A 16,679-nucleotide genomic window follows, 5' to 3' on the forward strand; every position below is an offset into this window, starting at 1 on the left:
GGTTGGAGGGCAGTGGCATGATCATAGCTCACTGCAGCCTCAAACTTCTGGATTCAAGTGATCCTGCCATCTCAGCCTCCCTAGTAGTGGGGACTAGAGGCATGCACCACCACACCTGGCTAATTTTCTATTTTATGTAGAGACGGAGTCTCACTATGTTGCTAGGGCTTCTCAAACTCCTGAGCTCAAGGAATCTGCTTGCATTGGCCTCCCAAAGTGCTGGGATTACAGGCATGAGCCACCGCACCTGGCCAATCACATCATCTTTTAATAAAAAGCTCTGTGTGCATTTATCCTGAGTACTGTGTAATAGCTAACAGATAACTTAAATCAAGTTGATGATAAAATTACTAAAAAAAAAAAAGTCATCTTGGGTTGCATTAATAAAAGTATCCTTTCTGGCTGGGCACGGTGGCTCGCGCCTGTAATCCCAGGACTTTGGGAGGCCGAGGTGGACAGATGACGAGATCAGGAGATCGAGACCATCCTGGCTAACATGGGGAAACCCCGTCTCTATTAAAAATACAAAAAATTAGCCGGGCGTGGTGGCAGGCACCTGTAATCCCAGCTACTTGGGAGGCTGAGGCAGGAGAATCAGTTGAACCTGGGAAGTGGAGGTTATAGTGAGCCAAGATCGTGCCACTCCACTCCGGACTGGCAACGGAACGAGCCTCCATCTCAAAAAAAAAAAAAAAGAAAAGAAAGAAAGAAATTAGCTGGCTGTGGTGGTGCATAGCCTGTAGTCCCAGCTACTCGGGAGGCTGAGGCAGGAGAATTGCTTGAATCTAGGAGGCGGAGATTGCAGTGAGCCGAGATTGCGCCACTGCACTCCAGCCTGGCGACAGAGTGGGTCTCCGTCTCACAAAAAAAAAAAAAAAAAAGAAAGAAATCCTTTCTAATTTGGGGAGATAAAAGTCTCACTGGACTTGTAGAAAAATAATTTACGTTCATTTTAGAGAAATTAAGATGAGTAAAACTAAAAAACCCCTACAATTCGGCCGTTCAGATTATACGCACACACACTATACATTTACAAATTGCCTTTCAGAAAGGTTATATCAAATTCATGAATATATATGGTTGGTATTGTCATAATTGTCATTCTTTGTAATCTTTGTCAATCTGATAGGTGAGAAATGTTATCTTTTTATTTTACTTGCATTTCTTTGATAATTGGGGTATCAAACCTTTTTTAGTTACATTTACTGACTATTTGTATTTCTTATTTTGTAAATTTGCCTTTTGCTTGTTTGTTTGTTTTTTTGAGACGGAGTCTTGCTCTGTCGCCTAGCCTGGAGTGCAGTGGTGCGATCTTGGCTCACTGCAACCTCCCGGGTTCAAGTGATTCTCCTGCCTCAGCTTCCTGAGTAGCTGGGATTACAGGCGTGTGCCACCGTGAATTTTTGTATTTTTAGTAGAGATGGGGTTTCACCATGTTGGTCAGGCTGGTCTCAAATCCTGACCTTGTGATCCGCTCCCCTCAGCCTCCCAAAGTGCTGGGTTTACCGGCGTGAGCCACCGTAAATTTGCCTGTTTATGTCCTTTTTCTATTGGGTATTTGTCTTGTTGATTTCTAAGAGCTTCTTATGTATTCTTTATATAGTAAAAACATTAACCCTTCATCATAAACATCAGACATTTTCCTGATTGTCTTTTTTAAATTATTTGTGCTATTTTAAATTATATGAAAGTGTAACATTTTTATTTTCCTTTTTTTAAAAATATAATTTAGAAAAGTCCTCTCCCTTCCAATGTCATATATTTACCTTTATTTTCTTTTAGTTTTTTTGAGACAGAATCTTGCTCTGTTGCCCAGGCTGGAATGCAGTGGTGAAATCTCAACTTAATGCAACCTCTACCTCCTGGGTTCAAGAAATTATCATGCCTCAGCCACCCTAGTAGCTGGGCTTACAGGAATGTGCCACCATGCCTGGCTAGTTTTTGTATTTGTATTTGTATTCATTTTTTGAGATAGGGTTTCATTCTGTCACCCATCCTGGAGTGTAGTGGCATGATCTCGGCTCACTGCAGCCTCCACCTCCCCGGTTCAAGCGATTCTCCCACCTCAGTCTCCCGAGTATCTGGGACTACAGATGCACACCACCATGCCTGGCTAATTTTTGTATTTTTTGGTAGAGACAGGTTTCACCATGTTGGCCAGGCTGGTCTTGAACTCCTGACCTCAAGTGATCTGCCTGCCTCAGCCTCCCAAAGTGCTTGGATTACAGGTGTGAGCCACTGTGCTCAGCCTCTATTAGTGTTTTTAAAACTTTAAATCTTGAATTTATGTTGCATTTATTTATTATTATTTTGAGACAGAGTCTCGCTCTGTCGCCCAGGCTGGAGTGCAGTGGTGCAGACCATGGCTCACTGCAGCCTCAACCTCCTGGGCTCAAGAGATCCTCCCACCTCAGCTCCCCGAGTAGCTGGGACTACAGGCGTGTATCACCATGCCTGGCTAATTTCTTTTTCTTTTTCTTTTTGTAGAGACAGGGGTCTTACTTTGTTGTCCAGGCTGGCTGGCTGGTTTTGGACTCTTGGGCTCGAGTGATTCTCTTGCCTCAGCCTCCCAAAGTGTTGGGATTACAGGTGTGAGCCACTTCTCTCAGTCAGAATTTATTTGTTATTATTTTTTGAGACAGGGTCTGGCTGTGTTGCCCAGGCTGGAGTGCAGTGGCACAGTCTCGGCTCACTACAACCTCTGCCTCTCAGGCTCAAGCCATCTCCTATCTCAGCCTCCTGAGTAGCTGCGACTACAGATGTGCGCCACTATGCCCAGCTAATTTTTCTATTTTTTTTTGTAGAGACAGGATCTCACTCTGTTGCCCAGGCTGGTCTGAAACTCTTGAGCTCAAGTGATCCACCTGGCTTGGGCTCCCAAATTGCTGGGATTACAGGTGTGAGTCACTGTGCCTGGCCCAGTATTTATTGTTATATCATAATCTAACATTTTTTTTGCTGTTATCTAGTTGTTCTAGTACTCTTTATTTCCCTTTGATTTGAAATGTCACGTTGATCACATATTTAATTCTTATATTTACTAGGGTTGAGTTTTTAGTGTTTTTTTTTTTTTTTTGAGATGGAGTCTCACTGTGTCGCCCAGGCTGGAGTGCAGTGGCACAATCTCGGCTCACTGCAAGCTCCGCCTCCTGGGTTCACACCATTCTCCTGCTTCAGCCTCCCGAGTAGCTGGGACTACAGGTGCCCACCACCACAGGGTTTCACCATGTTAGTCAGGATGGTCTCGATCTCCTGGCCTCATGATCCACCTGCCTCGGCCTCCCAAAGTGCTGGGATTACAGGCGTGAGCCACCACGCCCAGCCAAGTTTTTAGTTTTTATTCTACTCTGGTGATACTTTCATTTACTCTACTTTATGGTTTTTTTTTTTTTTTTTTTTAGACAGAGTCTTGCTCTGTTACCTTGGCTGGGGTGCAGTGTGCAATCTTGGCTCACTGCAACCTCCACCTCCCGGGTTCAAGTGATTCTTCTGCCTCAGCCTCCTGAGTAGCTGGGATTACAAGTGCCCACCACCACACCTAGTTAATTGTTGTATTTTTAGTAGAGACGGGGTTTTGCCATGTTGGCCAGTCTCATCTGGAACTCCTGACCTTAGGTGATTCGCCCACCTTGGCCTCCCAAAGTGCTGGGATTACAGGCTACTTTATGTGTTTTTATTAATTAGAACCACAAGTTTTCTTCTGGATTATCCTTTTTCAGAAATGTCCTGGATACTCTTATGTTTTTATTTTTACACATGAACTTTAAAATTATGTTGTCAAGTTCCAAAAAAACTGTATTGGGATTGTTGTCTGGTATCATTTTTGCTTCATATATGGAATACTGAATTCAATTTGGGGTTCGCATTTTAAAGATTTTGACAAGATGGTGAAGACCCCAGAAGGAGGCAGCTACTTGTAAGGATAAGAACTGAATTTACATCAAAATGTCATGAAACAGCTCAAAAATAATGTTTGTATCTAAAACGTATTTTGTTCCTTTCTCCTGATTTTGAGTTTAGGTTTTCACACTTACTAGGTATCCTTGGGCAATCAATGTTTCTTAGTTTAAGTTCCCACATCGGTAAAAGGTTGGGGTAAGTCCTAGATAATCTCTAAGATGCCCTCCAACTTGTACATTCTATAATTCTGTGAAATATTTGATGAAGAATACAAGAATTGGTTGTGTTTAGCTTTGAGAAGAAAAAAAAAAACCCTATACTTAGTGAATGCCTGTAAGTATCAAAGAGTTGTTCTATTGAAAGGAATTAACAATTTTTTTTTTTTTTGAGACAGAGTTTCGCTCTTGTTGCCCAGGCTGGAGTGCAATGGCGCAATCTCAGCTCACTGCAACCTCCACTTCCCAGATGCAAGTGATTCTCCTGCCTCAGCCTCCCTAGCTGGGATTACAGGCATGTGCCACCATGCCCGGGTAATTTTGTATTTTTAGTAGAGACAGGGTTTCTCCACATTGGTCAGGTTGGTCTCAAACTTCCGAACTCAGGTGATCCTCCCGCCTCAGCCTCCCAAAGTACTGAGATTACAGGCGTGAGCCATTGTGCCTGGCCAGAATTAACCTTTTTTTTTTTTTTTAAATTAAAAGAGGTTATGTAATGGATGTTCAATAGGCATTATTAATGTTTATGTGCATTATTGAAGTACTGCACTTACAGAGTTAAAGTAGAAGTGTGATTTAGCATGGTATAATGGAAAAGAAAAACATGAAAAAAATCAAAACCAGGTATAATTGCTAACTCCCTGATTTCCAAGTATATTTGGTTAGTTTGTTTCTCTAAACCTTGGTTTTTGAATCTGGAAATGAGGATCATAAAACCTACTTTGCATTTAGTTGTGAAGATTAATTTATGTGAAATGCAGAATGAATGCCTGACACACAGTAGGCATTGAACACATGTTAATTACTCTAATTTTGCCCCGTCTCCCTCCACAGCTGTTAAAGACTTTTGAGAGGGCAAAACATGCTATACTACTGAAGGCTTTTATTTAATTAAATAACTTACCGACAGTAGCATAGTATCAACACAGAGCTTAATACAGCGTCCTAAAAGCCAGTGTTATTGATAACAATGATCGAAACATACAGAAAATAAATGTAAATTGGAGGTTTTCCAGGCATGTGAAATATTATGTAATTTATATGTAAATTGCACCACCAACTACCCAAGTGCCCAAGCCAGCAATCTTACCACCAACATTGACTCCTGTCTTGCATTAACTTCCATATTTAACCATTCACCAACCTGTATTGATTTTACCTACTAAATATTTATTACTCCATCCATTTCTTTGCATCTCCTCTCCCTGGAGATCACCATCATTTCTTAGCTGGATTGATTTCATAATCCTCAAACTAGTGTCTGCCTTGAGCATTGTTTCCCTGGTCTTTTCTCCATAGTGCATCCATCCTGAATTTATCTGATGAATACGTGAACATTTTGAATTTTCCAAGATATGAGGGAGGTCAGTCAGTATATAACGATTATATATTGTAATTTGATATTTGTTTGACCCATTTTTAGCCTGAAATGAGCAGCAACATGTTCTTATAAAGGAGATAGGCTGAATGTGTGTGGTGGCTCATACCTGTAATCTTAGCACTTTGGGAGGCCGAGGTGGGCGGATCACCTGAGGTCAGGATTTCAAGATCAGCCTGGCCAACATGGTGGAACCCCATCTCTACCAAAAATACAAAAATTAGCCTGGCGTGGTGGCGGGTGCCTGTAGTCCCAGTTACTAGGGAGGCTGAGGCAAGAGAATTGCTTGAACCTGAGGGGCAGAGATTACAGTGAGCCAAGATTGCACCACTGCACTCCAGCCTGGGTGACAGAGTGAGATGTTCATCTAAAAATAAAAAATAAAAAAAAGTAAAAAAAAAAAGATGCCTATTAAATCATATACAAAATTAATTGTTTTTATGCATTTTTAATTTTTTTTTCAGAGACAAAAGTCTATGTTGCCCCATACTGGTCTCAAACTCCAGGGCTGAAGTGATCCTCCTGTCTCAGTCTCCTGAGTAGGTAGGACTCCAGGCACGAGCCACCCTGTCCTGCTAGAAGTTATGGTTTTTAAAGGTAAGATGTGCTTCTATTACATGGGACTTAGAAGGGGCTAATAATTTTTAAAACACTGGAATAAATTTAAGAAAGATATTTTTTTAAGATGGGTTATAACTTCACAACCTCATACATGGGTATATTAGATTTGTATAATTTTGAAAATCTTCTTGTACTAAAGCTCTTAAATATGGCTTCTTAGAGCAATGAGTTTGCTTATTTACGTTTATAAGAAGTTCATGTGAAGTGTGTACAACTATTATAATTGTAACTCTCTAAGGGCTTGAAAATGCACTTTTATCATATCAGTTCATCTGAAAAACTGTAAAATTGAACAGATTTCAATTACCTTCATCAGCTTAAACAATGGAGAAGTAGTGGAAGATTTTCATGAGGTACACAATCTCATCCTTGAACCTAATAACTATATACTCTTTTACAGATTTTGTAGTTATCCTTTTTTGCTTAATCAATCTTGGTGGCAGCAAAGTGTTTTGTTTATGTCCTTGCATCTCAGATTCTGCTGTGTACAAAGCACCTCTCTAGATGGAGTTTCCCAGCTGCCAGAAATTGGAATCATAGACTTTTTGAGCCAGAAGGGCCGTTTCATAGGCATCAGCTGGGAACTTGTTAAACCTACATTAATAAATTGGGCCAGACCAACTGAATAAAGAACTCTGGAGGTGTGGTCCAGCAATCTGGTTTAGAAAGCCCTCCAGGTGATTCCAAACCACACTCAAGTTTCAGAATTCCTGACCTGAGTTTCACCCTTTGATTTCTCTTTCTTTTTCGAGACAGAGCCTCCGTCGCCCAGGTTGGAGTGCAGTGGCGCGATCTCGGCTCACTGCAACCTACGCCACCCTGGTTCAAGCGATTCTCCAGCCTCAGCCTTCTGAGTAGCTGGGATTACAGGCACCCGCTTCCACACCCAGCTAATTTTTGTATTTTTAGTAGAGACGGGGTTTCACCATGTTGGCCAGGCTGGTCTCGAACTCCTGACCTCAGCTGATCCACCTGTGTCGGCCTCCCAAAGTGCTGGAATTACAGGCGAGAGCCACCGTGCCCGGCCTCACCCTTTGATTTCTTGATAAGGAAACTAGGTCCAAAGAGATTGTCACTAATTAGAGAAAATACTAGAATCTTTTCTAGGTAATTTCTAGAATGACGAAACATCCCAGAGGGAAATTTGTTTATTAGGCTAATTGCTAAGCCATAGTTGAAAAAATGCTGGGTGGGAATAAGTAATGATAGGGGAAGAGTCTGTCTACCATTTAACTCACCTGATGAGCTTCTTCAACATTATTTTTTGATCTATTGAAGTTTAGTCTGAAAGAAAAGTTTGCTTCATCTAACATTTGTTTTATTCACTTGATTATTCATATGTCGTATTCACTGAAGCAAGTTGATGTGTCATTTAAATAACTACTCATTTCCATCACTCATGCTCTCAAACTAATGAATCTTAGTGTGTGTGACCCTGCAGCTTTCATTTTTAACAAGCTCCTCACACTGAAGTTTGAGAACCACTACTACAGAAGATGGTTAAAGTGCTTAAGAATAAAACTAGTTGGACTAGACCAACATTTTCAATATCCTTTAATTTAGGTTCCACAGTGAAAACTCATACATTCTGCTAATGTATGTATCATGAAGCCAATATAACATTAGGGTTTGCTCCAGATATTTGTAATGATATGGTATTAAAGTGATTTTTTTTTTTTTTGAGACGGAGTCTCGCTCTGTCGCCCAGGCTGGAGTGCAGTGGCACGATCTCCGCTCACTGCAAGCTCTTCTCCCAGGATGACGCCATTCTTCTGCCTCAGCTTCCCGAGTAGCTGGGACTACAGGCGCCCGCCACCATGCCCAGCTAATTTTTTTATTTTTATTTTTAGTAGAGACGGGTTTTCACTGTGTTAGCCAGGATGGTCTCGATCTCCTGACCTCGTGATCCGCCCGCCTCGGCCTCCCAAAGTGCTGGGATTACAGGCGTGAACCACCGCGCCCGTCCTAAAGTGATTTTTTTTTGAAAGTATAAGTTTCCTCATCATCTGAATGAAAAAAATTCACTGTAGGAGGGCCAAGAGATCACCAGATTAAGAAAAGTGTTGAAACAATGGATCTTGTTCTAACTACACAAGTCTAAGATGGTACTGCCTGGAATCAACTTTGATTTTCCACAGCACAAATAAAGGTCATGGCTTCATATCTCAGCAATGGTCAGGAGTTTTAGTTTTTCCAGATTACATTGTGTGGGGTAGTCTGATTTAGGAAAACAAGACACAGTATCTGGAGAATAAAAACAGAATTATAACTCTGCAAGAGGAAAATTATCTGCCTTGAATTTTTGTAGCACTTAATGTTTTTTCAAGGTATTTTCACAATAAACGTTGATTTTATCTATGTAACAGCCCTGTGAAGAAGGCAATTACTACTAGCAAAATCGTTTTCAAAATTTTAAATACTGAATCCATGAATAGGAAAAAGGACAGCGAAGTTGATAGCATTAGAGAAATGACAGAAAAGGTTATGAGTGAGGAAGCGAATCATAGAAATGGCAAACATAAAAAGCTGAGGCCCACGGCACCGCAAACCAGGAGAGAAAGGGGCTAATCTGGCAGGGGAGAACAGCGTTAGTGGGGAAGTGCAAAGAGGCAGGGGCGCAGGAAAGCTGGGGTTAGGAAACTGCAATTCACTGCAACAAAGAGGATGAGGTCAAATCTGAGAAAAATGAAGTCAGGTGGCATTGAAAGCTGCGTGGAAGTTTTATTCCTGCCCTGTTGAGGTGTGATCTTTCACAGAGGAGGGTCCCAAGAGTGGAGGCTGTGCCCTCCTTCGGCCTCCCGTCAGCAGCAGAGGGAGAAAAGCCTCGAGAAGTTCCCTAGGCCGATGACCTCCATGGGGACGGAGCCGAGATGAGTCCCGGAGGGAGCCGGCAGGAAGCCAGCTGAGCAGGGTGGTGTGTTCCCGCCGGGCTAACAAAGGCCGCCGGGAGGTGGGGGCTTCTCCAGCCGCTCCAGCGGCGGGCGGGCGGCGGAAGGGTTAACTGCACCACCAACTCCCGCGCGCATCCCGGCCCCTACCCCCGCCGTCGCTAGGAGACGCCGGAAGTGGGGGAGGGGCCGGCGGCGCGGGCGAGGGTGGGAATCTTTTTCGGGCTCCCGGGGGCGGAGGGAAGGGAGCGCGCGTGCGCGCGCCCGGCCGGCCGTCGCCGCGGTGACCGTCCTCGGAGTCCGTCGGCTCGCGCCCCGCCCCCGTCGCCCCCTCCCCTGTCGCGCGCTGGGGCTGTTTCTCGCTCCTTCCGAGTTACCGCCGCCGTCGCCGCCGCTCCTCCTCTCCCGGTCCTGGGTTTCCTTGGCGCTGCGGCCGCCGCTCCCTCTGCGACCTGTATGAGGAGGAGGAGGAGGAGGATGTGAAGATGGCGGAGCTGCAGATGCTGCTGGAAGAGGAAATCCCGGGGGGCCGCCGGGCCCTCTTCGACAGCTACACAAATCTGGAACGGGTGGCCGATTACTGCGAGAACAACTACATACAGGTGCGAAGCATCCCCAGCTGGGCCGCGTCGGGGACCCCCCCGCCGGGGGCCGCGCGCCTCGGGGCGTGGGGCCGAGGCCGCCTCGGGGACACGGCCCAGCGGAGCCCCCGATGGGGGTGGGGAGCTGGGTGAGGGCTGGGGCTGGTGAATGGGTGGGAATTCTCCGGCTGGAGAAACTGCATTTTAAAAACCTTTAAAAAAGCGGTGAAGCAGTTCTCGGCGTGGTGCGTGTGTCGCGTCCCGCCTCCTCGCCGCTCCCGCCCTCGGCCGCCCCCGCACTCCGCGCCGGTCAGCGTTCCGGATGGCGGAGGGGGCGGAGAGTGGCATTTTCTGTTTGACGGAATCCTGCTCCCCACCTTAGGGTAGGGGTGTCGCGGGTGTTGACGGGTTACCTCCATCCCCCAAATTCTGGATGATTTTTAAGGGGTTATCTTGCTGCAGAGTGAAGTGCTTCAGGCTTCAGTTTTCTGTTCCTGTGAATGCTTCAGAAACCCTTTCTTAATATTTTATGTTCTAAAGGGGATACGGTAGAAGAGCAGCAGTTTCTTGTTGGAAGTTAATGCCATTTTTTTCCCTATGGAGAAGGATGATGAGCTGATTCCCCCCTCCCTCCTAGTTCTGTTAGAATAGGCAGTTTTCCTGGGGGTGGGAGGAGGACAGACTATGACTGTTTCTTAGAGAGAATTGGGAAGATGAACCTCCTGGTTTAATTTTTTTTTTTTTTTTTTTTTTTTACCGTGATGGATCGTTTGGCTCAAGGGCTGATAGTGGTAGGGGCGTGTGTATGGAGGCGGGGGATACCGGATGGTATGAGATCCAGCTGCTCCTGGATGAAGCAAAATATTCTGTGGATTAAAAAAATCCTTCTTTAAAAATTACTTGAAAGGATAGCAGGTTAAAAGGCACAGTTTGCAAAATCTAAAATCTTTTGCTTTTTTTTTTATGGTTATTTTGAATTATGGGTTCTGCCTCCATTTTTTTTCTTTCCCGTTTAAATTCTCTTGGGATAAAGATGGAAATGGAAGCAATATGTTAAACTGTTTCTTCACAGTCTTTTTTTTTTTCCTTTTTTCTTGCTCCCACCTCCATCTCTCCAGGGATCCTTCTTTTTTCTTTTCTTTTTGAGACACAACCTCGTTCTGTAGTCCAGGTTGGAGTGCAGTGGCGCGATCTCGGCTCACTGAAACCTCGGCCTCCTAGGTTTGAGCAATTCTCATGCTTCAGCTTCCCGAGTAGCTGGGACTACAGGCGCCCGCCACCACAGCCGGCTAATTTTTGTATTTTTAGTAAAGATGGGGTTTCACCATGTTGACCAGACTGGTCTCGAACTCCTGACTTCAAGTCATCCACCCACCTCGGCCTCCCAAAGTGCTGGGATTATAGGCGTGAGGCACCTTTCTTAACATTAGCTATATAGGAAAGCATTTTCATGTCTTAGTGTAAATTTTAAAAAACAGGTGTTACAATTTTATAGGTTCATAAATTTTGTAATGGCCACATTGTTGATCGCGGAAGTGAGATTTTGTTTGATTAGACATACTGTTATCTTGTAGACAACATTTGTATTTGAGAATGACCCGAACCACTGTATAAACCTGTTCCTTCGAAAGAGGCAGTTGACTATGGCTACTAGGAAAGGAATGTAGGCAAGATTAATACAAAAAAATACAAATGTCCACTTGTAATGTACTTTGCTGATACAAGTGGGGTAGAAAAGATTCAGAGGTTCAGGCCTGGGCGATAAGAGTGAGACTACATATCAAAAAAAAAAAAAAAAAAAGATTCACTTGCTCAATTTTTCGCTAAAATTGAAAGTCTTTTATGGCCTAGAACTGTGTGAGGGGTGGATGGTACATACCTAGTAGGAGAGGCTGATCTTGGAGGAAATTAATACCATGTAGTTAATTTATACTCTGTAGTGCACTGCTGGTACCAAGGAGGACTGGAGGAAGCAATGCTGTTCTGAGGGATTTCACAATCTCTAGTAGAGGCAAAACCTAAAGGAATGAAGTGGTAATTCCATTGCCTTGTGCAGCATATTATGGGGAAAGAGTTGCAGGTCAGAAGAGAAACTGAGGGTGGAAAAGTGGATTGCAATTATTACCAGTAAGAAATAAAAAATAAACAGATTTCTCTCTCTTTTGCAAGATGATTTCTTATTGTAATTTGAAGGTACAAGTTCCTCTTAAGTTATAATTGCTATATAAAGGTAAAAGGATAAGGATTATTAAAGCTGAAAGGTTAAAGGCATCAGCAGTTTTCTTTTTAAATATTTTATACATTTCCTTCAGTTGAAAAGAGAAAAACGTTACTACTATCAATCTCTGTTTTAGCAATGGGACTCAAAATTTAGTGTGGTGACATTTTAAAATTTAAAGCATAAATATTGATTAATATTAATTTAATAGAAATGAACTTAGATTTTAAAATAGTTTATTTCTTCAGTTTAGCATCTGAAGTATATTTTACACTTTCTCTTTTTTGATTATCATTTATTTTAGGATGCCTTAGGTATATAATTGGTACACTCTCAGGATGATAGCTCTTATATGATTTGTTGATTTGTTGGGAAAGTTGATAAATAGAACGTGGTGACAGTGGATTTGTGCTGATCCAGCTGTACATTTGGTTGACCAGCAGGGGTTTTGATGCTGCCTGGACCCTGCAGTAGATGAAAGTTAATTCACAGGATCAGTGATCAAATGGTCAATTTAGCCTTTTTTTTTTTTTTTTTTTTCTGAGACAGAGTCTCACTCTGTCGCCCAGGCTAGAGTGTAGTGGCGCGATCTCGATCTCTGCTCACTGCAACCTCCGCCTCCTGGGTTCAAGCGATTCTTCTGCCTCAGCCTTCCAAGTAGCTGGGACTACAGGTGTGTACCACCATGCCTGGCTAATTTTTGTATTTTTAGTAGAGACGGGATTTCCCCATTTTGGCCAGGCTGGTCTGGAACTCCTGGCCTCAGATGATCGACCTGCCTTGGCCTCCCCAAAGTGTTGGGATTACAGGCGTGAGCCACCGCACCTGGCCAATTTAGCCTTATTATAGCATCATGTCTTAGCCACTAGCTCGAGTTAACTAACCCAACACTCATTTTATTGTGTGGAAATGTAATTTTTGCCTATAAAGTAGAAAAAAATCTGTTTATCATGTGTAATAAGTGTTTTTGCTCAGTGTTCTTTTTTTTTTTTTTTTTTTGACACAGAGTTTCACTCTGTCGCCCAGGCTGGAGTGCAGTGGCGCGATCTCAGCTCACTGCAACCTTCGTCCCCCGGGTTCAAGTGATTGTCCTGCCTCAGCCTCCCGAGTAGCTGGGATTACAGGCACGTGCCAACACGCCCAGCTAATTTTTGTATTTTTGGTAGAGATGGGGTTTTGCCATGTTGGCCAGGCTAGTCTCAAACTCCTGACCCCAGATGACCCACCCACCTCGGCCTCCCAAAGTGCTAGGATTACAGGCGTGAGCCACCGTGCCTGGCCCCCTAAGAGTCATTTTTAATAAAAATTTAGATAGTTTCATTATTCTAACCTCTAGAAAATGGGATAGTCAATATTTTTTCTAAAATATGATAAACAGGTATAACTACAGTTTGCTGATATTTATCAGATCAATTTTATTTCTTGCCTATACAAAGGATTTAGTAGTTGGTAGAGACTTTTTTTTGAGATACATGTAAGACCTGCGTTTTTCTTCATTTATTAATATACACACCTAGGCCGGGCACGGTGGCCCACGCCTGTAATCCCAGCACTTTGGGAGGCCGAGGCAGGCACATCACGAGATCAGGAGATCCAGACCATCCTGGCCAACATGGTGAAACCGCGTATCTACTAAAAATACAAAAATTAGCTGGCTATGGTGGCGTGTGCCTGTAGTCCCAGCTACTTGGGAGGCTGAGATGGGAGAATCACTTGAACCTGGGAAGCGGAGGTTGCAGTGAGCCAAGATCATGCCATTGCACTCCAGCCTGGGCGACAGAGCAAGACTCTGTCTCAAAAAAACAAAAATTACACATATAATGCCTAATATGTTTGAAGGTGTCCAGGAATTAAAAATGTTTTGGTTAACTTGGAATCTACGTTTTTACAAATAGAAGAATTTTTATTACAATATAGTTGTCTTAATGTTTTGGTAGATGAAATAACTCCCTATTTGTTACTTCCCTGAAATCTGAAAAGCCAACTTGTTGATATGTACGTTTTTCTTTTTGTTAGATAAAAGTTACTGATTTTTGTGAGTGACAGTTCACATAGATGCATAGTAAAATCTTATTGTTTGGATTAAGAGTAGAATCATCCCATAATATGGATTTATTCAAAAGAGAAGAAATTAAGAACTTACCTTAAATTTTTACCTGAAATATTTTTGAACAATAGGAGACATATTAGTAGCTTTCCTTTTCTTCTCTTAATCAATGTGGATACTCCCAGAGTTCACTAAAAACTTCATGAGAGGTTTACAAGGGAATATTATCAGTCAGTTTCATCAAAAGTAATTACCAAAATGATACAAAGATTTAAAATTTTTATTTAATAAAAATCATTAGAATACATGCTCATTGTTGAAAAATTATTGGAGAATACAAGTAGGTATTATGAAAGAAATGGAAAATTGCCCGATCATCTTGAATATATATCTGGTACTCATACTTTTAAATATTTTTTGTATGCACAACTATATATCAATATTTTTGTAGAAATGGGTTTATGTTCTATATTCTGTACCTTTAAAAGAACCTTTTAAGGATGCTGGGCTTGACTTTTTTTTAAATGGATGTCATATACTATATTGGGAGGAGGTTGGTTATATTTATAGGTCGAGTTCTGTATGTTCTTGCAAATGGGAGAATCTTAGAATACCTAGAATGAAGGAGAAAGAGGTCAGTTGAGAGTAAGGAGACTGAGTAGAATTTGGGAGACTGAATTCCCCATAGATTAAGATGACTCAACTCATTTGAAATTGATCAAGGCTTACCATTCCTCAAGAAATTAGTCCCTAACTCTCAGCAGAGACATTTGGTGAATAGATTTTCAGTGACAAATCAGTCATCTTCAAGACCTTTGACAAGATTGCAAAAACAGGCTAATTTATATTTGAGCCCCTTGCTCTTTTAAACATTTTGTCATTTGTACACTTCCTACACCTTCTTGTCCAAGGAACTTAAGTGACCTCATAATTTCCGTTATTGATCCAGGAAATCCAGTCTCACCTCATTTCACCCTTCCTTGAAGAGCTTCCTGGTTCAAAATTGCTCTTTACCAAAATAATTAATTAATAAACTGTTCATTTATTTTTTCTTTTCTTTTTTCTTTCTTTTTTTTTTTTTTTGAGATGGAGTCTCACTCCTTTGCCCAGGTTAGAGTGCAGTGGCGTGATCTTCGCTCACTACAACCTCCGGCTCCTGGGTTCAAGCAATTCTCCTGCTTCAGCCTCCTGAGTAGTTGGGACTACAGGCATGTGTCAGCATACCCAGCTAATTTTTGTATTTTTAGTAAAGACAGGGTTTCTCCATGTTGGCCAGGCTGGTCTCGAATTCCTGACCTCAAGTGATCCACCCGCCTTGGCCTTCCACAGTGCTGGGATTACAGGTGTGAGCCATCGTGCCCAGCCTCATTTACTTTTTCTTCTTACCTTGGTATGGGTAATGTGAGAATGTATGATAGGTTTACTTTATTTAGAGTCATCTTTTCTCACCCAGAGAATAATATATAAACCAAATTGGTTTACTTATGTGTAAAATATGTAGTAGAGATATTTTTGAGCATGAGGTGCTTTTGGTGTTACTTTTTCTTTTAAAATGCAGGGAATTTAATAGTATGCAGTTTCAGGGTGTGTAAGGTAATCTTTTGGTGGATGAAATATATTTGGTGGATGAATATGCTGTGATTTGCTTACACCCACCCCAAATCCATTTTGCAGCACCCTACTCACTGTCCAGAGATTCTGGGAAAAAAACAATAGAGAAGACAAAGCCAGTCTAGACACCATTTGACTCTACCTTGTGAATATTCTGAAAGTTACATTAGGCTAGTTGTAGATTTTTTTTTTTTTTGAGACAGAGTCTCTGTCGCCCAGGCTGGAGTACAGTGGTGCGATCTCAGCTTACTGCAACCTCTGCCTCCTGGGTTCAAGCAATTCTCCTGTCTCAGCTTCCTGAGTAGCTGGGATTACAGGTGCACGCCACCACGCCTGGCTAATTTTTGTATTTTTAGTAGAGACGGGGTTTCACCGTATTGGCCAGGCTGGTCTCGAGATCCTGACCTTAGGTGATCCGCCCGCCTCGGCCTCCCAAAGTGCTGGGATTACAGCGTAAGCCACCGTGCCTGGCCTAGTTGTAGACTTTTGATAGCTTATGGTTGAATTTTTATGGGATTGGTTAATAGATTGGATTCATGAGGTAGCATGTAGGGCAACACATTCTATTTTGGATTTTTCATTTACTTTGTGTTTCCTTCCAGATACGAAGCTCCTAGAAGATGGAGTCATTTCTTAAAAATTTCTATATTTTCCCATTAGCCGTAGGATGTTCTCCATATACTAGCCACTCATTAAATAGTTGCTGAATGTAAGAAATACAGACTTGAATATGCAAGAGCCTATGCACTGAATTATTTTTATTTTATTACTTTATTTTATTTTATTTTTTGAGACAGGGTCTCACTCTGTCACTCAGGCTGGAGTGTAGTAGCACGATTATGGGTCACTGCAGCTTGCACTCCCAAGCTCAAACAGTCTTCACACTTCAGCTCCCAAAGTAGCTGGGACTACAGGCTTGTGCCACCATGCCCAGCTAATTTTTTTTGTTGTTGTTGTTAGAAATGGGATCTCACTATGTTGCTCCGGCTGGTCTTGGAACACCTGGGCTCAAGCAATTCTCCTGCCTTGGCTTCCCAAAGTGCTGGGATTACACCTGTCAGCCGCCATGCCTGGCCTTGAATTATTTTATAAGTAGGATATAATTACATGTAAATTTACCTTGCAAGTTTTTTCCTATTTGATTTTTTGGTGACATTTATGTTCTGTAAAGTTTTGCAGTACTTTTCATATTTGCATAATTCATGCAAGGAACATAGTTT

The 16,679-nt window shown here is 42.3% G+C and overlaps 1 protein-coding gene across 122 annotated transcripts in view, besides 5 other annotated features; it reads left to right on the plus strand.

Moving 5' to 3' along the window:
• Window positions 8,254–9,224: an enhancer, noted in NCBI's record as "H3K27ac hESC enhancer chr2:204192004-204192974 (GRCh37/hg19 assembly coordinates)". NCBI's record gives its function as "activates a minimal SCP1, AML or CMV promoter by ChIP-STARR-seq in primed H9 embryonic stem cells {active_cell/tissue: H9 hESC(primed)}" and the evidence as "EXISTENCE:reporter gene assay evidence [ECO:0000049][PMID:30033119]".
• Window positions 8,254–9,365: a biological region, named in NCBI's record as "H3K27ac hESC enhancer GRCh37_chr2:204192004-204192974".
• Window positions 9,026–9,365: a silencer, noted in NCBI's record as "silent region_12254". NCBI's record gives its function as "represses an Ori minimal core promoter by ATAC-STARR-seq in GM12878 lymphoblastoid cells {active_cell/tissue: GM12878}" and the evidence as "EXISTENCE:reporter gene assay evidence [ECO:0000049][PMID:35858748]".
• Window positions 9,122–9,309: a silencer, noted in NCBI's record as "fragment chr2:204192872-204193059 (GRCh37/hg19 assembly coordinates)". NCBI's record gives its function as "represses an EF-1alpha promoter that drives an FKBP-Casp9 reporter gene in an ReSE screen in K562 erythroleukemia cells {active_cell/tissue: K562}" and the evidence as "EXISTENCE:reporter gene assay evidence [ECO:0000049][PMID:32094911]".
• ABI2 (abl interactor 2) overlaps window positions 9,367–16,679 on the plus strand; it is a 103,776-nt gene continuing 96,463 nt past the window's right edge. For all 122 annotated transcript variants that reach the window (NR_164713.1, NR_164705.1, NR_164715.1 and 119 more), the window contains exon 1: window positions 9,367–9,604. Coding sequence is in view for 77 of the 122 variants with exons in the window: in NM_001375676.1 (NP_001362605.1) it covers window positions 9,488–9,604 (117 nt within the window). In the remaining 45 variants the exon portion in view is untranslated. The remainder of the gene's footprint in view (window positions 9,605–16,679) is intronic.
• Window positions 9,586–9,935: a silencer, noted in NCBI's record as "silent region_12255". NCBI's record gives its function as "represses an Ori minimal core promoter by ATAC-STARR-seq in GM12878 lymphoblastoid cells {active_cell/tissue: GM12878}" and the evidence as "EXISTENCE:reporter gene assay evidence [ECO:0000049][PMID:35858748]".

The sequence above is a fragment of the Homo sapiens genome, chromosome 2 (assembly GCF_000001405.40).
Source record: "Homo sapiens chromosome 2, GRCh38.p14 Primary Assembly".
Classification (NCBI taxonomy): domain Eukaryota; kingdom Metazoa; phylum Chordata; class Mammalia; order Primates; family Hominidae; genus Homo; species Homo sapiens.